The following is a 22,958-nucleotide window of genomic DNA, read 5'->3' on the forward strand; positions in this document are numbered from 1 at the left end:
TTAAATAACAGTTTGCTTGCCAGAGAGACAAGCCTTTTTCAAACCATATGCGAAGTGACTGATTGCAGCCATCTCCTGAAAAACAACACGTGAAATGTAATAATGCACTGGGTCCCTCCCTTCTGCATTACCAAGACTGACCAGTGTGTACCAGGCCTCAAATTATTTCAACATGGTCCCCTTTGCCACAAACTGAAGTGGAAAATGGCACACGCTGAGAGGTTTTTTGTTTGCTGCTTTACAAACAAATATATTTCATTTAAGTACACGTCTGGTCAATGATGTGGTATATTTCATTCCAATGGTCTGAATGAGAGGTACTTTACTAACCTTTATTCAAAAGCTCATTTCTAAGGAGTGTCTGAATATGGGGGATCATTCACGGCAGCCATGGAACATACAACTAAGGGGCCATTATCTATAGCATAGCTAATACAGGTAAAAAATGATTATCTCATGTTATTTTTATGTGTAAAATGCATTATAATTATGATACTCTCTACATTGACTCTCTTAAATAAACCTAAATCTGTGTTATGAACTAATTGCCAAATACTCTATTTATGTATATATAAGACAGTAAATAATTTCTATGCTCATATAATTATGGATTTAGAAACACCTAATTTCTACATGGGGATTCTGGTATGATTCTTTCTTAGGTAAATAAGGATTTTGTTGTTGCATCCTAAAATACATATTTAAATATTAAAGACTTAAAAATCTTTCAAATGTGGAATGATAAGGAATTTTGCAGGGAAGGTTAATACTACAGCCCCACTAATCGTGTTTTGTGTGTATTCCTGACGCAGAATTTTCTAAGAAAAATAACAAATATATGTATTATAAATAAAAGTTCTCTAAGGCCATGACAATATTCTGAGATGATATCTTATCCTCAGAGTTTCAGCTATGTCTAGGTTATTGAGTGGAAGCTAAATAAGTCTTGTCGTTTTCATCCTAGCTCTTAGCTTCAATTTTTATGAAAGTTTGATTTCCATTTGTGTATTTTGATGTATTTCCAACCCAGGAAAACTCTTTCCTAAACTGAAAGTAAAGACTCCCCTGCAAAAGCAGCTTTCTCTTTACCCAGCTTCCCCTCCTTTCCTGTGTTCACATTGGTGCTGAGGGGTCAGTGTGATTTGTCTCACTGCTTTTCTTGCCCTTCTCTGTCCAGGCGATGATCCAGGCTTGCTGATTTTTCTTCCACATAGCCTCTTGCCCTCAACCCTCTCTCAATGCCCTCCTGCCATCACTAACTACCCCAGCACATGTCTTCATGCCCACACACCTATCTCACTGCTGCAGCCTCCTTTCTGATCTGCCTGATCCTTGGCACTGTCCTCCCCAGTCCTTCTACTCACACTCTTCACAGAGTTCTACTTCATGTCTCTGATTCAAAACCTTCCGTGGCTTCCCATGTCTACTGCATTTCCTCCAAGCTCCTCTACATGGTTTTCAAGATCTTTCATACACTGCTCCCCACACACCTTTTTAAACTCAATTTTCTACAGTTCTCCTGTCACATATCCTCTGGTTGAGGTTGGCAGTGACTTGCCTTTCAATAATAATACCACGATCATCCTTCCTTCTCGTTTCTCCTTCGCCAAATCCTATTCATATGGAAAAACCCAAGTTTTCCATGAACTCTATAAACTCTCTGATCTACCTACTCTCTGCTATACAAAAAGTCTTAGTTTTGCCTACGTAATTAGCCCCTAGTTACATACTATGTTAAAGAATCGGACTTTTGGTTCATGTGCACCACCAAGTCTCCCTCGACAACATCAAAAGATTTTTCAAGCCAGAGATTGTATCTTAGACCTTTTCTATATATCTCACAGAACACTTAGTATTAGTGTTCATAAATACTTGCAGGTTTATATAAGGCCACATAACTAATCTAGCCACATAAATCAAAAACATGCTGCACAAGTATCTAAAAGGGCAATAATAATCAAAACAAGGAAATTCAGAAAAACACCTTAAATATTTTATAAAAGAGGTAAATAAGCAATTTTAGAAGAGCACAATAGAAAAATGCAATTTGATTATATAATTTAATGTGAAAAAGATATTTTGAGTTTAACTTGGAATTTCTGCAGATTAATACAATCCATCTTTGTGAAGTCTTCGCAAAACTCTGGCAAAAGAAGATACTACATATCATAGATGCTTGGCTTAAAAAGAAGTACACATTTCAAAATAAAAGGTTTGTTTTGTTTTGAAAGCAAGACAATGCTAAGTACAATGCTAAGAGATATTCTGTCTCTTACTCTGAATGACTTTCTTTAATTCCTTGTTCTAGACGTATCTTGCCATGCTGTGATTCTCCAGAAACATCACTTAACCAGACATGTGGTTTCCTTTTTATTGACTTAACAAACACTGTCACTTTGTTATACTTTATTTTAGATCCTTTATTATGCATTTAGTAATTTAATGAATGATCAAAAATGTAGGCTTTACACTGGAAAGCAACCACATGTACTTTTAAAGGTGATTATATTTTGAGGGAATTATTTTAGAGGTATAGGACTTACTTTCCTAGTGACATTGTGATGTTTCTAGAGTAAGTAATCATGATAATATAGACTTTGGCTGGAGGAAATGAGGTTCATTATTGAACCTCATTTTTAAATAATATTTTTTCAGCTAAAGCTATTAATTTGTCTAGTTTCTCATACATTTTTAACACCAAAATTGTGCTAGCACTTAAGAATTAGTTACGGACTAACTGCTGTTTTCCAACTGTGTTTGCCATCACAGCATAAATATATCTACTGGTGTAGAAGCAGGGAAGAATGCCACCCACTGATCATCCACAATGTGCAAAGCCCTTTCCAATGAGTACTTCCTTTAATCTCATACCAATACTACAGAGAAAATACTATTGTTATCAACCAGAAGAAGGTGAGGTTCAAAAAGAATTTTTATATGGGTTAAGTCATTTAATCAAAATTTAGATATGTATTTGTACTGGGGTGAATTTTGAATAATAACTCTAGATTACCATGTGATCTCTCTGAGCCTGTTCCCCCCTTTGTAAAATGGAATAGACAATGCTCATGCCACAAGGGCTTAATGATTAAATGAGAGATTATACATGTGAGTGCTTTGCAAAAAATACAGCAACTCATAACATATCCACTTCTGTTAAAGATATTACTTAATGTTGCTAAGTATCTCAAAGCTAAACTACGATGACAGTGTCCTTATCCAAAGGTCAATATCCTTTCTCCTGTATCAACAATAGAACAATACATAACCAAAGATGCTTTGTTTTTCCTTCCTTCCTTCCTTCCTTCTTTCCTTCCTTCCTTCCTTCCTTCCTTCCTTCCTTCCTTCCTTCCTCCCTCCCTCCCTTCCTCTCTCTCTCTCTCTCTCTTTCTCTTTCTCTCTTTCTTTTGACAGAGTCTCATTCTATTGCCCAGGCTGGAGTGCAGTGGCATGATCTCGGCTCACTGCAACCTCTGCCTCCCAGATTCAAGCAATTCTCCTACCTCAGCCTCCCAAGTAGCTGGGATTACAGTGCACACCACTACACCCGGCTAACTTTTTTGTATTTTTAGCAGAGACGGGGTTTCACCATGTTGGCCAGGCTGGTTTTGAACTCCTGACCTCAGGTGATCTGCCTGCTTCAGCCTCCCAAAGTGCTGGGATTACAGGCATGAGCCACTGCGCCCAATCAATGCTTTCCATTTTATCTTGGCTGCTAAGTAACTCAGAAGTAACTTTAAATCTCAACCTTAGTAACCATGTAGGAGCTGGATAATTATTCACTACTTTTAAGCACTCAAGTCTTCCTTCACCTGTATGATAAGAACCAAACTTCTCTGTAAATTATGCATGTCTTTTTATGATCTGGCTCCTGCTCCCTCATCAGCTTCATATCCTATTCACTCTAGTTTATACTCCCTGTTACAATAAAATGGAATTTCTTGTAGCTCCCTGAACTAGCTATGATATTCCAAAATCCTATGTATTTCCGAATGCCACTTTTTCTTTCTAATTATGATGTCTTCCCTTCCAGATGACATCATAATTAGTCCTTTCTAAGCCTAATTAAAACATCTGCTCTGGACAAAATCCTTTGTTGACTTCCTTCCACCAGCCCTGGGAAGAATCTATCATCCCCTTTCCTCTAACACCCCTAACCCCTTTCCTCTAACACCAAATGTGGTGTTCCATCACCACATTTATAGAAAAATATATATTACAATTATTGGTTTCTATGTCTGTTTCCAGTTCTCCTCAACTTGCTCCTCAAGGTACAGTATCCATGTCTTATTATCTCTATAACATAAGTGCCTCTCATGATGTTGCACATACTAGGCTCTCTGGTTGTTAATCTTGGTAATCTTGGTAAAATTGCTTCTCTTTCTTCTTCCATTTTAATTTTACTTTTAAATAAAATGCAATTATTTTCAGATCCTATTTAAAGCAGTGAAATATAAATAATTAAAAGACAGATAAATACAAAGGAAGGTGTGTAAGTCAATTAAACAGTAGAGTGATCTCCTGGTCAGGGTTGGCCCAGAGCTGTGATACAGAAAATCTGCCTTATTATTATCACTAGAAAGGGCTCTCCAAGAAGAATTTTCCCTAAAATCTGAACCATCTCCACAAAAAATATCCTTACACATCTCTTACATTGCTTAGCAATTCACCATTAGCAATTCATTCTTTGAATTAATTAAAAAGGCCAATCTCTTATGAAAGGGTAATAGAATAAACTGTTACAACAGAATTATATTAATTTCAATTTAATTCCTCCTGAGAAACAAGAACATTCCTAGGGAAGATAATCCTGGTAAAGCCATGCAAACAAAGACATTGGTCAAGGGAGATCCTTAGGCACTGTAATCCCAGTGAAATAACTTCACGAGATTTGGAAATATCCAAGCTGAGTAAATATGGTTGTTATGGGCTGAATTGTGTTTCCCCATAATTCATAGGTACCCCTAGTACCTCAGAATGTGACTGTATTTGGAGACGGGGCCTTTAAAGCAGTGGTTAGGTTAAAATGAGGCTCTTAGGGTGGGTCCTAATCCAATCTGACTGGTGTACTTATACGAAGGGTACATCTGGACACAAAAAAGGACACCAGGGATGTGTGCACATGGAGGAAAGAGCATGTGAGGACACATCAAGACAGCCTCTATCTACAAGCCAAAGAGAGAGGCTTCAGAAGAAATGAACCTGCTAACACCTTGATCTTGGACTTCCAGGCAGTACTGTGAGAAAATGAATTTCTGTTGTTTAAGTCCGCTGTCTCTGGTAGTTTATTACGGCAACCCTGGCCAACTAATACAATGGCAGCTTCTACCTCTTATGCCATGAAAGGTGCTAGTTGCTTTCCAAAATTATCAAATAATAAAGCAGCATATTTTAGAGATAAGGTCCTATTAGCCTCACAAACAATTATCTAGAAACTTTTTTCTTTAGGATCTAGTAGCAGTTCTATCTGTTGACAGCCTTGTCCATCCATCTATATATTTATCTATGATTCTTCAAAAGTTGTCCTTTAAAGGGAAGGAAGCACTTAACAAAGGTTTTCAAAAACAGGAAGATTTATACTTGAGGCAAGAAACAGAATCTCAATGCTATAAGCTGTTGAGATAAACTCTAGGAATGCTGATATATGCCACTGGACCATAAGCATTTCGAGGGAGGGAAAGTATCTCACGACCTGCTCTATGCCCAGAGAGAACTGTGCGCTGCAAGCAGAGAAGCATGCAGCACATGCCTGCTGAAATGAACTAATGTCTGCAGAGCTTCTTGTGGAGATGTTTTATGGACCTTTCAAAAACATTCTCCAATGATGTATGACAAGTTTCCCTCAGGATTTGAAGAGTACTCCAAAATAAGCGAGTTCTGTCTCCACACCCCCGGCAAGGACAGCATCCTAGACATCTCCTGTAACACACATTTAGACTCTTGTCACTGACCATCAGATGATAAATGATACAGTAGCATTAACTCTGAAGATATGAGACCCTTTTAGGCTTGGAAGCCACTGAATTAAATTAGTTTCATCAGGATTATAGTGCTTACTGAACCCCTTTAACCAAATGCTTTCTGTCTCATTCATATGGTTTTAATATGGTTTTAACCAATTGCAAGGTTATTTATAAGTTTGCAACTCCCAAGTAGAGTTATAAAGTGTTCAGATTTAAGCAAATCCAGTTGTGTGGCAGCCTAACTCCTACTTATATGTGGTTTCAACTTTTTATTCGTGTACAGAGGCATGATGCAGATTTGTTCCTGAATATTCTCTGATTAACCATTTGTTTCAGTAAAAAGTTCACAAAAAGTCCCACTGTAAAATTACACAAACTCCTATTAAAACTGAACACATGGTTTAAAAAGTGGAGAATTCTATCTCCACCTAAACCACCAATAAGATACTGTTATTCTAACATGTACCATATGAACAAAGAGTGTCACAATAAAATTAATGACCAGCTAAGCAAATGTCTTTGTCCAAAAAGGTATCTTGGGAATTCTATTAGTTCAAAATCTAAGTGCCTCATCTGAGGTACCTGTTTAATTTATAATGTGTACTTTTTAGTATTATTTGTGGAAACACAAGTGCAGTTTATTCAAGTTGAAAACATCAAAGCTATACGAACCAAGAATAAATATTTTCTTTAGAAATATAGCTTCCATTTCAGTTTTAGCTGGAAAACTGATAAATTTGAAGATTTTTTTCCCTCAGAAACATAAACACAAAAAGTGGGAAAATGTAAGGTACTGCTACCATGTATTTGTTTTAATTTATGATATATATAAGCATATTGTATCTCCTAAGAGCTTTTCCTATAATTTAAAAAAATATGTATGCTGCACAAATAACATATATCTTAAAAAGAAAAATAGGGAGCATGAGAAAGCTTTAGTGCCAGAAGGAAATGTAAGGCCTCTTCATTCAAACAGCAATGTGACCAAGGAGGTGTGGACACTTACCACAGTCCTGAAGCCGGCTGGTGACAGATCCAGAACATGCCTCTCAGCTCCAGACTCTCAGTCTCCTGCTCCTTCCACTGAGCTACTCTTACTCTACCAACTATGCTAGTCCCTGTATAATTCATCTGCAAAATGAGGGAGTTAAGTTAACTTATCTCCATGGTTTCTTCCAGCTCTGAAATCTTATGATTCTATGATATTTGACTTTCTTTCTCTCTAAGATCTATACTGCAGCACACATTGATAAAATCACGCCTAAAAAAATTCTGAGGAATTATTCATCTCAAGAAAAGCACTAAAAAACAATGCATTTTTTTCAAACAAGCCTACCAAAGCATGGTCACCCTTAGCCAAAAAGCATCTGTTGGCTACTTCTGAAGTTCCGTGGCCACCATAGTCAAAAGCAATAGAAGGGAAGGGACACAAAGGCAAGGGAAGGCAGGGAAAGGATGCAGGGAAAATCAGAGGGAACACATTTTCATCTGAATGTGGCTTAAAGATTCCTCTGTGTCCCTAGTTTGAGACTCATTATGGTGGCACTAGCCCAGAATACATCTCTTTTTGTCTGCAAGTAAAGTAACATAAATGCAAAGACTGCTGCTAAGAAGAGGGCCTTTCTTCAGAAAAAAGCTGATTAACTCCTTAATGTCAAGATTTTGTATATTCTACTGTTATCCTCCTTCTAGGAAAAAAGAAGCACTAAATAAGGTCAAATGATGTCACAAATGAGTATTCAAATAAAAAACAAAAATAACCCAGGACTATGTCTGATTGTGGAAGAAGCTTTTCTTAAGATGAAGTAAAATTAAAATTTAGAAACTGTTTTCATTTCATACAAACTAAAAAAAAATTCTGAAATTGAAATTTTTAAAATGAGTTTAAAAGAAGAAGAAAATATTTAGAAACGCTTTTCAAAACAGTACTCCAATATGGCACCATTACAAAAGACAAAAGATAGTGTCCAACTGTGGGGATATGTGTTAATTGTATGGTTTTCCAAAGATGTGGGAGAACTGATATCAATTACAGTATAATTACCATTACTTCCAACAGAGTTAACATGTAGTTACCATAAAATAACATAGAATTAACTGGTGTCACATTGCACACCAGACTAAATAAGATACAAATTAAGAATTCCCAAATGTAACGATAATACTCTTCTATCTCTTAAAAAATACAATAAAAATAAAACAACTTTTCTCTGATAATGTCACAGCATTTGCAGGAATTAGTATAATTATTCAAAGAGGGAAAAACTAAGATATATAAGTTAGAAATCATCATTTTTAGTTATAAGGTAAAAAACTGCATAGGGATGGAGAAGTATATATTAACAAAAATGTTAAATTTAATAAACTAAAGGTATAGTAAATAAAATGAAATTTCCTACACATTTCTTTCAAGTCCTGAAAATCAGGCAGCTATATTTTAAAACCAAATTCAAGAATGTTCTTAGTTTTTACTGATACCTAATATTTTTTACTTTATTTATCAAACACGGGACAAGAGCCTGCTTTAGTCGTACTATAGAGAGACACAGAAATGAGTCAGGCTCAGTTCAAGACAGGAATTTAAACCCAATTTTTAGTTCTTTGCTATGTGAAGCAGTAAGTCATGTCTCAATATAAGTAATTTCCTTATCAGGAGGTGAGCTTAAGGGACAAAGAATGCTACAGTTCAATTTGAAGAAGCAGAATTCCTTGCTGGAATGTCTCAAGTCAGCAACAATAATACAGGATGCCTCCACGTGCTGCATATGAGAGAGGGGCACGTGTGGGAACACGTACATGCTCACCGCGCATCTAGATTTAATTAGAAGAGAACTGAAAATGGCAGAGTGCAATGCTGTGAAGTTGATGGGAGGACAAAGGGAAAGGAGCTGTATTTTAAATACAGCTACAGTGTATCTGCTATATCCGTTTCAAACATCTGGGCTTCCAATTATTTATTGAACTCATGTGTAAGACTTATTTGGGAATACTGCAAGCAGTTATAGAACAGGAACATGCAACTACTTTGTAAAATACTTGCAGGACTGAACTCTTGATAAAATCTTGGACAATATGAGTGAAAACTGCTCTGACATTATTTGAGTCAATGTGTGCAAACCGTGAAGAGGTTAGCATGCTAAGAATAAATTTTGTACACAGCCTGCTAATTAATGTAGCAGATAATATTTTATTGGGAACTTATATTTTGCATATTTTTGAAGATTTAGTTTATTTCCTACATCTGACTTTTTTTCATTTTTTTTCCTTTGTGGTATCCACAGGCTTACTTGAGATTAAATGAGGCTAGACACATTTGTAAAAGGCTGCACAACTTGTTTGAAGATTACATAAGCATATGCATAGATCCACAAAGCTTTCAGGGAAAGTCTGTTCCCTATGTAGTCAATATTTTCCTTTTTTCTATGAATATGGAGCTTGGGAATAGATGTATTAATTTTGCACCCAGTTCCATGTTTTATTCCATTGAATTCGTGAAGCTTTTGTTAGGCTCTAAGGGAAACCAAACTGGCTAGGAGGGATGACAACAGAACAATGATGGGTACATTATTATTCCATGTTATTTCCTCTTGTTCCCACATCACTGTTACATTCCTCTGATTATTGCAGTCTCAAAAAATGTGCTGATCACTGTGTGTGTTAGGCAACACTGCAAGACCGAGAAGCTAATATCCCAGATAGAGTACATTATGCATCTGATGTAAATGAGGTATGTGCTCTCCACATATCGGCCGTTTGTCATCAGAGAGCCAGCAAACAGAGCGGATGGGTGCGAGTGCTTTTATTCCCTTCCACTGTTTCCACAATGGTGAAAATAAATAAGTAAATAGAATAAAAATCACCTGTCCTTCACAACTGTCCTTAACTGGCACAAACTTGAAATATTTACAATGTAATGTATATTTTGGGTAGAGCTTTGTGTTTGTTGTCATTATATTAGGAAAAAACAAGGCTCGTCATCTTCACATTCAGAAATTAGAAACTGAAATGCAGCACATTGTAGGTCATACCAGCAAGGGTAGCGACTGCACCAACTTTATTTCTCAAAAAATAAAATGTAAGATATTTTAAAATGTGGACTCTGAATTCCTGGTCTAAAAGCAAGTGCTTCAACATAAACAATCCTTCCCGCTGAATTAGAAATGATGCTTAGATCACAGGTTAAAATCTCTAAGTGAAATAAAAACATCTCCAAGGGCTCTAGGACATGGGCTCAATAAACAAGCACATGTTTATTCCTACAGCTTGAATAACAGCACTTCTGCCCAGATAAGGAGAAACTTGGAAAATTAGCCTAAGCAGGATGTGAGACCGAGAGACAGTTCCTTCAGTCCTAAAGATTGTCTAATGAGGGCCGGGCGTGGTGGCTCATGCCTGTAATTCCAGCACTTTGGGAGGCCGAGGCGGGTGAATCACAAGGTCAGGAGTTCAAGACCAGCCTGGCCAAGATGGTGAAACCCCATCTCTACTACAAATACAAAAATTAGCCGGGCGTGGTAGCGGGCTCCTGTAATCCGAGGCACTCGGGAGGCTGAGGCAGGAGAATCACCTGAACCTGGAAGGCGGAGGTTGCAATGAGCAGAGATCGAACCACTGAACTCTAGCCTGGGCTACAGAGCAAGACTCCGTCTCAAAAAAAAAAACAAAAAAAAAACCGATTGTCTAACGAGAATTAACTAAAATGGATTTGAACAGTCTCAGGGAAAAAGGCAGTTGTTCATAGAACAAATAACTTCCCAAGTGAATGTTATAATTAGCCGTTTTTAAATCTCTGTAAAATTTTTAATGGCATTTTCAGACCAATTAATGACTTAAGAGAAGATCATGAATATAATAATTATACAAGCTACAAAAGTTTTTATAATATACCTCTTATTTAACTCTACTGCATATATTTGACACAAAGAAGTGTATAACCTAGGAAAGGAGTAAATCTGCTTTTCACCCTGATTAAATAAAACTCATATTTGAATTTGCGTTATGATCAAAATTTTAATTTTGCATAACTGAGGTGATGACCAAAGGAGTAGAAGAAAAATTGCTTCTAGAGAGCCAAACTTCTCGACTGCTTCGGGATCTGAATATTAAAATGTCACTTATATAAGGCTTCAGGTTGTACATTGTGTTCTCTAATTGGCAATGTGACATGAAGGGGTGGATTATTAGATTGCTTAAACCAAATAAAGTCTTAGTGTAAATATGATCTATTTAGAAACTCTTAGGTTTGAATAAATATGATCTATTTAGAAATGCTTAGGTTTGAAATATTAGTCTTCCCTTGAAGATTAATATGTTTGAAGCACTCACACTTGTACTTTCAATTATTTTAAAATTCATTGACAATTATAGTTTCTCAACTAAAAATAATACAAAATTCTAAAAATTCATTGTCTATTGTTCTAAACAGTTACATAGTTTGCCTTCTGTGTAAGCTGATTTGACTGCAAACTTTACTTCTCTTTAGTATGGTTTCTACTTGAAGGTAAAGCAATATTTAATACTGCCTCAAATATCAACTATAGAAAATTTCTAGCTCATTAAATTACCTTTTAAAATTATATAAACTTGAGGAAATGATTCTGGAAAACCAGTTTGTACAAAACCATATGAAATTCACTAACTCATAGTGTTTTGATCTCATTGTATTATGCTGATCTGTAAATCCATCTACATTTAGCTAATCCTCAGTCCTCAGCTAATTCTTTGAGCCAGAGATATTTGGTACAACCGACCTGATTTGCTTGAAATAGACTTCACTTCCTTTCTACACCCTCTCCTTCTCACCACCACCCACAAAGATGATAAACAAAAAGTGTTTTATTTATGGAAAAAAAAGTGATGACATGCTACTTATTTATGCTATCAGCCTAAGGCAGCTTTGAGTCTACCTCATTCCAATGAAACAGGAGGCAGGAGGCACACAGCATAAAGCTTCCCTTCTGGGCAGAAATCAGACTCATTTCCCTTCCTCCTCACACAATAAATATGGTAAATGGTCAGACTTTGTGGCCATTAGCATCTTATAAATTGTAAAGTCTTTTCCCACATATTATCTAATTCGTAAGGCACAATCATCCTAATTTTACAGAACATACTGAGACTCAGTAAGATTTAGAGACTTCCCCAAGATGACACAGATACTCAGATGTAGGCCTAGAAGACAGATCTCCAGCTTTAACATCAAGACTAAATTCCTTCTACGATTCACATAGCTTCATTTGTCAAACTTTACTCAGTTTTAGGTACATGAAATCAGGAAGCTCAGCATCCATGTTCACTTCCAAAGCTTTGCAAGTTGGTATTTATTTTATAAATTTAACTTTCTGAAGCTATTCAAATCCAGTACTTCATTGCACAGCCATTTAAATAAATGACATCAGCATTTGATTCTGAATAAATGTGTACTGGTTGTCTCTCAGCCCCCCTAGGCTGTGCAACTGTTTCATATATGGTTAATTCTTATGCGGCTTTAGAGGACTTATCATTGGAGATGCACACCCAAGAGCTCCTGTTAACTGTGCTGCTATCAAGGACACAGGAGTAGGGTAGGTAGGTATGCAGGTATTACACACTAGAGCCCTGCCATAGAAGAATGCAGAGGCAGCAGCTGCCTCCTGTAACTATAAGAACTTGCAGAAAAATCATCAATGATCAGAGACTGCACCCTAACTGCAGTAGGCTGTAAGATTGCAGTGAGAAGTGAAGGAAGGAGAGAGGGAGGGTGGAAAAATAAGAGGAACAAGGGGAACAGGAAAGGGCAATGGGGGAGCAGAAATGGAAAGAGAGGGTAGGAAGGAGGTTAGGGAGGGAGAAAGGAAAGGAGAGAAATCTATTCTCACACATACCAGGAGGCAGAGACAAAGAAGTGTGGACCGAGGGCGATGCATCCACAACCTCCAGAATAGAAGACAGATGAGGAAGTGGCAGTGAGACAAGCAAATTGAGACAGTGAAACAGACTTCAGTATTCTAGGGCCTTGTAAGAGGCAACCCTCCTATAATATGAATTTACTCTATCTGAGGAATGCCAGACACATTCAAAAGGGCAGAGAGATGAAAATAAATTTTCATCTCCGTAAGAGTAACTACTTCTTCCAAAGTCTGGGCTCTAGTCACAAGCACACAATCAATGAGCATTTTAGGCTCAGTGTTAGGGGAAGAGCAAAGAGTAAGACATGGGCTCTTCCTTCAAGTTACCAATAATGGTAACAGTGTGGTGCAGTAAAAAGTATAGAATTTATATAGAGCAGAGCTGGTATTTGAACCTAGAGTTACCTGCATGAATTTTCAGGGTTTTGTTCGATTTGTTAGTCTATAATGGGGGCTAATAAAAGATATCAATAATCTTTACCTCACAGGATTTCTGTGAACATCAAATGTGATTTTTGTATTAAAAATTCATCAGTCACAAATGCCTATAAATTATGTTAATTATTTCAAATTTTCATGTAGATTTACAATCCTATATCACCCTGAGGTTTCTCCCAGAGAGAAGAGTGGGAGCAACTTATTAGTTGCTTCTATAATTGTGTAACAGATTGACTGTCTCCAAGTTTATCTATGTGGAGAAATACACTCCATTTACCTCAGCCACCACTACCATCATTATCCTTTATTCTCTCTCTCTCTCTTTCTCACACATACACAATCATACATACAACCATACATACAGCCTCTGGGTTAACTTTCTTAGCCAGGCATTCAAGGCTTCCATCATCTGAATCCTGCCCCTCTCTAACTCAGAGTACACTTCTCTCTTGATTGAGCTGTCCTCCAGCCATTATTCCCCATATGCAGACACATGCCCCAACCATACTCATGCCAGGACCCTGCCTAGACACTCCTGCCTACCTACTCCAGCCTGCCTGTCCTTCCTTTGAGGGCATTTCAAGTCTCTCCTCTTCTACAGAACTTTTTTTCCACCAAGGGATTGATCAGGACGGCCTCCTTTTATCTTCATTAGCTTAATTAGCCTTACGACACTTTTCATTCACTCATTTGGCACACAGACCCTCTATTGTCTGGTTCCTTTTCATGGATCTGTCTTACCTCCCAAATCAGACTACCAGACTACACTCTCCTGTAGGTCAGAAAGAGACCAGTCAATATTTACCTGAATCCCTAGCACCTAACACCTAACCCATACATCAAATGGTGAGCACTTCCTACCTAACGCTCTGTGACGTCATGTGGTTGCAAACAACAATAAGGGAACCAGAAGAATATTTATTTGCATCTACCTTACTTCACATATATTATCTTATTTAATATTTTCCACAACCTTATACAGTATGTTCATCATTTCCACCTCCCAAGTGAGTAAACATAGTCTCAGAAAAGTAAGTAACAGGCCCCAGGTGGCATACCTAGTAATACACATGTTGTTGATCATTAATTAGGCTGAGAAGCTGAGATTTGGATTTAGACATGACCGATTTCAAAGGCTCCTGTTCTTTATTTCATTCCTGATGTTTGCCTAGACCTGGAGAAATCATTTCATGGCAATCAAATTGGTGGTCTGGAATAAGAAAGGCTAAACTTGCTACCAACCTCCCTTGAAGGAGTATTATTAAGATCAGAGAACTCGGCCAGGCGCAGTGGCTCACACCTGTAATCCCAGCAATTTAGGAGGCTGAGGCAGGTGCATCACCTGAGGTCAGGAGTTCGAGATGAGCCTGGCCAACACGGTGAAACCCCATCTCTACTAAAGATACAAAAAATTAGCCGGGCATGGTGGCAGGTGCTTGTAATTCCAGCTACTGGGGCGGCTGAGACAGGAGAATTGCTTGAACCTAGGAGGTGGAGGTTGTGGTGAGCCGAGATCGTGCCATTGCACTCCAGCCTGGGCAACAAGAACGAAACTCTGTCTCCAAAACAAACAAACAAAAAATAAATAAATAGAAAGAAAGAAAAAGAAAAGAAAGGAAAAGAAAAGAAAAAGAAGCAGAGAACTCATGTTCTTAGAAGAACAGAAAGGACTTGAGAAACCAATGTGATTTTGTAAATGTAAGAGCTCACTAAAATGTTTCTTTGAACTAGAGATGAGGTTTGTCTTCTTGCCCCCATTTTACAGATAAGAAAATGGATACTAATTTAATTGTTGATATTTTAATCTCAACATAGGCAAGAGAACCCCAAATATATGGTTTCTTTTCTTAAAAAATTATGTTGACTCTCAATATGGGAAGATAACAATTCAAATGATCTCCTTTGTTGAGAACTACAGGGGACTACTGCAACCTAGAAGATATGAGAACTAAGGCCATTGCGCAATGCATTTTACAAGACACCCTTTGTGTTATTTCAGAACCAATGCTGTTGACATTATTTATAAAAAGATATAAAGGGCAAATCAGGGTTGCACTAAAAATAAAATCAAGCATTTCCATCCATAGTGGGAAGACAGCACTTTGGGAAATTCTAATCTTAGTTGCAAATGTCAAAGATTGCAAACTGGATCTTAGCTAAAAGTAAACTTCTGCCAGACTGCTCTCAATGGCACATTTTTGACAACCAGATTTAAGACAATGCTGAGAGGGAATCAGTGATGTAAAGAATATATAAAGTACATCCATGTGCAAAGTTTTCACATATACTCTCTATTCACAGCCCTAGGCCAACCAGCTGAAAATGAAAATAATCAAGTATAGTAATACCCAACACCACAAAGGGAAGGGAGTAGAACACATACACGAAGACTTATACAGACAACACACATACACTGTCATACAGACCGTCTCACATATACACCCAGGTCAACTGACACAGACAGACATACAGATTCAGAGACAGACATAGACATGGACCCAGACATACCTACAGACATACAAATGCAGAGAGGTGCACACTGAGATAGACACACAGACACAAAGAGATACTGACAAATACACAGACACACTACAGATGCATAGTCGGATAGACAGACGCACAGCAGGAGCAGGTACCCACTTCTATAGATACAAACAGACCTATGGAAAAACAGGCAAAATAAATGCACATACACACACAAGGAACAGACTCACAGAGACAGACTCACATATAGATTTATACCCACAATGAGAAAGACATGAACATTCACAAAGTTTGCTCACATGAACACTCACAGAGTTACACGCATTGTGCAGTCACATGCACACACAAACTCATGTACAGCCATATATAATGTGTGACCTTCTTTTCAAGGCGCATCAGGACACATGGGCAGGGATAGGTTTGGGGGAAGAAGGTGAAGTCCGTCTGTTATTGCAGACAGAATATGGGATTCAAAACAAAAAACTTTGAAGTCTCTCAAGTTCAATATTAACTGTGTGAATGTAGGAAAATGATTTGAGCTCTTTGAACCTCATACTCATCTGTAGAAGAGAAATAATAAAAATTCCACTTCTTAGGATGTTTGCTAGAATTAACTTTAATTAATAAATGTGTGAAATGCTTTGCAAACAATTTAAAACACTGACATTTTAGTGATTGTTATTATTATGTTCTTAAAACTGCCACGAGCAAAGAAAGCCTCTTAGGAAAAGAAAAAGTTAAAGTATTATCCACCTCACCTATTACTAAGAACACTTAATGAAATCTATTTTTAAAAATTGATCTTTAGGGAACTAAATATTTATACAAAATGTAGTTACAGAAAATTGTGTTACTGGCATCAACTTAAATCAATTAATATTATATTTAGTGCCTACTATGTGCCAGGCATGTCTAGGAAATGTAATGTTCTATTTAACCTACACTCTGATTAGTGAAGCTATCAGATACAATATATTCCATACTTATCTCTATTAGCAAGGATGATAGTATAGAACAACATAAGCAGCACTAAGACTGAATTTAGCACTTTGAGACCATATGATGCCTTAGGGTCACCACCATAAGCATCTTAGGACCGTGAACATTAGAGCAGAATCTGGAAAGCACACAGGACTGAGTGCCAGAGAGACAGAGGACTGGTCCCAGTCTCAGTAACACCCTGTGGCTGGATTTGGGCAATCACTTCACTTCTGTTTCTTCATCTATAAAATGAGCGGCTGTACTAAATGATCTCTAAGGGCTCTTTTAGCTCTGATTCAACTCTTTTTTTTTTTTTTTTTTGAGATGGAGTTTCGCTCTTGTTGCCCAGGCTAGAGTGCAATGGCATGACCTCTGCTCACCGCAACCTCTGCCTCCTAGGTTCAAGCAATTTTCCTGCCTCAGCCTCCCGAGTAGCTGGGATTACAGGCATGCGCCACTAGGCCCAGCTCATTTTGTATTTTTAGTAGAGGCAGGGTTTCTCCATGTTAGTCAGGCTGGTCTCGAACTCCCGACCTCAGGTGATCCACCCGCCTTGGCCTCCAAAAGAGCTGGAATTACAGGTGTGAGCCACTGCACCCGGCCTGATTCAACTCTTCTTATAGTGTGATGAAGAAGTGCTGACTAATGGTCTTTCTGTTGAGAGAGTGTTGAATATATGAATTTTTACTATACTACTACAAAAACAAAGAAGTTCATATTTCATATCTCTAAAGGGAAAAGATCTATCATCATCACTGGACTAGAGATAATGTGGACGAGTTATGATTCTGTAAGAATAGAAATTGGTTAAGAGATTTTTAGACAGAGCACACATTAGATCCCGAATTCCCAAGGGCAAAGATCTCTGAGGAAAATCTTCAGGATATACCAAAGCCAACATCCATGAAATGGGATGTCAAAGTCTGCAGAAAGTTCAGATAGCTTTTAAGCAGAGCACCCTCCTCTTAGCTCAGAAAAATCCAGATGGACCCAGTTTCCTAAAGGCAGGCACACAGTAAAACAACACAGTGTGTTTTCAAGTGATCGCGTATGCTTCTCTGAGGAATCTAAAAATAAGAACTTAGACAGATTCTTTGTTAGACTTAGGAGGCAGCTTGCATTGTCTTGAGAAGTTTTGTGAAAACTTAGGAAAACAGTTTAGAATCTACTCAGCCTTTCTAAAGTTGCATTTTAAACTGAACCCAACTTTAAATGTTCAAGTTTTAGCAGACTTTTAAAAATATAATTTGTCACTTAAATGGTCTCAATTTTGTATTTAAAATTTGTCCTACAATCAAATGACTTCAAACTTAATATTTGTTTTGATGATAATCATAACTATATATATTTTCTTTAATGTGCTCTTTTAAAAATAACTAAAAAATTCCTGACAACATGTGCTTTGATTTCTTTCTGCAACTCAGATATTTAAAAAATGTTTAGTACAACAAGTGGATTCTAAAGGCCACCTAGATGGGTCTGATTTAATTTGGAGGTTGGGAATTCTTCAGAAATTAATTTGTTTATGTGGGGTGACATAGCATTAAGTCACCTGACACTAAACTTGTGATATGTCCTTCCTCTGCATACTGTTTGTCTTTCCACTGGAAAAGCCCTGTTTCTACAACAACAGGGCAGCTTCTAAGCTAAGGAAGGGCAGGAGTGCAAAAGAGCCCAAGGCCAATTTAAAGAAATTTCAAATGGAGTTCCACCTACAGAACTGGTCTTGGGAATGCTGCAAGAGAAGAAAATGGATTTTAAATGCATAATCCTGAGTACCTGGCTTATAGTTTCATAGCTTTTTGATATAACCTGTAATAACACAGGGAACTAAGTGTTATTAATCACAGATAAGGACACCAAGGCTCAAGGAAGTCACAGACCTGTGAGTTGTGGAAGCAGAATCTGAAGCCCCGGTCACTCTGACTCCAAAACACATGCTCTCTTCACTCTTGCACATCTCTCTAAAGGTCTCGCCCATTCTTTATTTAAACTGCCACCATCATATTCTTCTTAAAATGTAGTTTAGATTAAATGTGCCCCATCCACAAACACCTACAATGGCTGGCAATTATCTACAAGGATAAAACTTAAGCTAGCCATGACAACCATCTCTTTCAGCCTGCTCTTCTACCAATTATGTGTCAGGTTCTGAATGAGGCCACTTATGTTGATTATAGCAGGCCTTTCATATCCATGAGTTCCATATCTGAGAGGTCAACCAATTTTGGAAGGAAAATATTAAAATTTTTTTTAAATTAAAAATAACAATACAAATAATAGAAATAAAAAGAATGCAACAACTATTGACATAGCATTTATGTTGTGTTAGGTATTATAAGTAATCTAGAGATGATTTAAGGAATATGGGAGGATGTGCCTAGGTTATATGCAAATACTATGCCATTTTATATAAGAGTCTTGAGCATCCAGGAATTTTGGGATCTGCAGGGTAGGGAGGTGGGGTCCTGGACCAATTCTCCAAGAGTATTGACGGATGATTGTACTTTACTGAATCATCATAACAAACCCTTGTGCATAGAAACTATGCAAATTAATAGCATTTCTCAGATGGAGATGTTAGGGCCATCTAACTCCAAAGCCTTTGCTCTTATCAACAAACTTAATTAAATGGATGGAAAAGTAGGAAGGAAAGAAAAAAAGAAGGGAAGGTGGAAAGGTGGGAGAGAGAGGAAAAGAAGACTGGGAAAGAGGGAGGAAGGGAGTAAGAATTTATTAAATGCCCAATTTGTACAGAAGATATTTTATTAGGAGGTTGAATATTAAATCATTTAATTCTCAAATCCTGATATTTTTATAGATTGGGAAACTTAAGCTCTGAGATATTAGCATAACAGTGATAAAGCCAGTATTGAGCCCTGGTTATCTTTCCACTTCACATGTCTAATACTATGCTTTGTATATAGTAAGTACTTAATACAAATGGAATGAAATTGAAAAAAAGTGTGTCTGTGGAATAAAGTGCTGCAAACAAGTATTCAATGTCAGTCACATTACCTAAACTAAGGCAAATAACTGTAGGTAAAAATGCATCTAAAAGATAAATGAAAGATCTGTTAAGAAATAGCCCTGAAAAATTACTGAGTTCTCAAACTGAATAGGAATGTTATAGGTACATTCTTAGGTATGTCTGAAGCTTTTGTGAGTGCCCAGAGAAGACCTATGTCTCTTCTGAGAAGCTGTTTTGTTTATGTTGTAGAAATACTGTGGCTGTTGTAACACATTTCCTTTTTGCCTGGTTACCAGGAAGCTCACAATCGAGTCTGTGGCCATCCTTTAGCAATTAGGTAAATATGTATGACAAGAATTTTTGTGCACTTCACTTATCTCAGCTTTACCCTACTTACCTTATTTTCCTATCCTTAATTTTTATTTCCCACAATCTCCTCTCTATTTAGTTTTTATGTTGTTTTACTGCACGTATCACTGCAAACCACCCAAAATTCTTTTTACATCAAGGCAACGTATAAACACAAATAGTACAACTGTACTGTTTTGCTCCTTAATTCAAACAGAACAAAGCCATTGGTCAATTCTAAACTTTTACTGTGTTTGATCAGTGAAAACTGTTATTAAGGTTAAGGTGAATACAATTAAAACACATAATGCAGGTGTATGTATTACATGATCTAGAATAGCATATATTCAAAGTATCACCTTGGTAATCTCAAAGACCCTTTTAGAGGGTCCACTAGATCAAAACTATTTCCATAATAACTCTAAGACATTGTTTGACTTATTCATTCTTATTCTCTCTTGAATGTACGATGGAGATTTCCAGAAACTACATGACAATGATACAATTTGGATGCAAAAGCAGATACCAGAATCAAGCAGTATTCTAATAAATCAGACATTAAAGAGATTCATGAAAATGTAAAGCAAAAACATTCTTCTATTTTTTTACTTTGAAAATATAGTTAATACTAAAAAATGGTATTTATATTACTACCTAATTGATTTGTTATTGTTATCTTAAATATTTTTTGATGTTTTAGTTTTAATATTTAATAAGACAAATATTGGTTGATAAGTCCCACATAAATCAAAACTCTTCAGGGTCTTTGATAATTTTTAAGAGTGTAAAAGGCCCCTGAGACCAAAAAAGTTGAGAACAGCTGGTCTGGAAGGATTAAGAGATTACATCTAGAAGAGATTAGATCTAGAAGGATTAAGGATTAGAAACTACCTGCCATAATGGGAGGTTAGGTCTATAAAATCCTCATAATTAGTAAGTTTGCTCCATACATAACAAAACCAACAACTCTTTCACAGAATGTATGCAACATTATTAACTGAATATATCGAATTTTAGCCATTTCATTGAGAGATACATTAACTAGATGTGGCCTTTTGACTAAAACATGTATAAATAAAACTCAAGGCTTTATATTTATTCCTACACCTACACCTATCCCTAGGAAGGATCTTGAACTTGTACACTTATATATAAATTCTCACCATTTTTTTCCTGTTTAAAGTACAGAGAAGAAAAGAGCCAAACAAGTTTGTTGTTGTTTTTTATGAGTTTGGCCTTTTAAGCTAGTAGCTAGGCAACCAATCAAGTAGTCCTGACAACAGAAAGAAAAAGAACTTAATGATTACATTCAGCCAGGAGCCTACATACAGAACTTCACAGTTGCCCAATGTTATTAGTTCAAATGTAAAATCCAACATTAATAAAACTTACCTTGCTTTTCTCTAATTTTATAGCACTTTTGATCTGTGTATGTTCTTTTAAAAAAACACTATCGCAAGTATAAATATAGCTATTCATTTCAAAGAAATATGTATGAAGCACATATATCTAGATAGACTTCTTTAGCTCATAATTTTAGCATTCACTTCATTAAATTGATGTTTGAAACTCAGATGTGTGTCTTGTTTTAGATTTTAAGTAAAATTGCGCTATCAATCTCACAGAGATGTAGGGAACAAATGAGATGATGGAAAGGAAATGCTGGAGTAAAGTGATCCCGAGCTGGTCTTAGTTTCTTCATCTGTGAAACAAGGACAGTAATACCGACATCCCTGAATTTGGAAAGGTTTAAGAGCGAATATATATGTAATAATATATTTGGAGCATAGAAAGCAGTATAAAAATATTCATTGTCGTGACATAAAGAAAGAGTAGTACACAAATGTTTTTTAAACAGTGACTACTGCTCTGCTTTGCAAATGAGAATTACAATTAGAATTTCTTCCCTTACTGCAAAAATCTCTAATGTGCCCTGCATTCTTCATAGTACAAGTTGTTGTCTTGAGAATAGGTTGACATAGAAAAGCAACACAAACATGTTAGTCAACTGCTCACAAAAATGACAATCCTGATTAATTAGGACTATATATGCCTTTGAAAACAACCAAACCTCACTAGTCTGTGAGCTATAGAAGGAGCTCATTCATTCCCAACACACTTTGCTAAATAATTTTCTCACAAGCCCCTTTCACTTACTGCTGTACAGCTATATTGATCCTCTGTCTAAATTTATCCTGTCATGCAATAATGAATACCTGAATCAATTGTATGAATAACAAGGAGCTATGGTAATTGACAATGCGAAGCAGAAGATGTCCAGTATGTTTTTCTTTTCCAATAAAAGGGGGCAGTATTACATCAGTGTAATACTGATGTACTATTCTGATATTTTTGAAACATATGGGTGAAATGCAAGAATCTACACTTTCAAAAAATGAACAATGGCTTCTTAAATAAATGGGAACAAGTTTACAATGTGCCCCAATGATTAGATATTGTTTTCCTATTTAATTCACTGAAAAATATCATTTGGGTATAAGAAATGTAAATAGCTATCAAGAATCAGGTCAAGCTTTTCTAAAAAAATTATAGATTAAAATTCTGCTTTTGTGGAAACATATTAAAGAATATATTAAATAAGTAGGAACAAAAGCTCCCTAGCACACTAACATAATCAAATTTGAGTATTATTATCAAGTTGGCTTTAGCCAGATCCTAGCAGGTAGCTAGTTTATACAAGTTACTCCAAAAATGAAAAAGAAATATGCATATCCTGACTTTGTAAGAAGCTGCCTGTTAGAATCTAACTAGCCTTTTTTTCTCTTTTAAGACATTTTGGATCCAAGGACCAATAGGTTGACTCATTCACTAGTGGAGAGTATCAAAGAAAGAAAAATTTAAAAACTAAACAACAGATTTGACAAG

General features: G+C 36.6%; 1 protein-coding gene and 1 long non-coding RNA gene across 7 annotated transcripts in view; one reads left to right on the forward strand and one right to left on the reverse strand.

The window, feature by feature from the left end:
- Window positions 1–22,958, reverse strand: part of SOX6 (SRY-box transcription factor 6) — a 772,029-nt gene that overhangs the window by 52,574 nt on the left and 696,497 nt on the right. The gene's annotated exons all lie outside the window — the stretch shown is intronic.
- LOC105376572 (uncharacterized) lies at window positions 4,206–22,948 on the forward strand. Its single transcript, XR_007062607.1, has 3 exons — window positions 4,206–4,271; window positions 19,974–20,061; window positions 22,864–22,948. It is a non-coding gene; the product is annotated as an uncharacterized LOC105376572 (long non-coding RNA).

The sequence above is a fragment of the Homo sapiens genome, chromosome 11 (assembly GCF_000001405.40).
Source record: "Homo sapiens chromosome 11, GRCh38.p14 Primary Assembly".
Classification (NCBI taxonomy): Eukaryota; Metazoa; Chordata; class Mammalia; order Primates; family Hominidae; genus Homo; species Homo sapiens.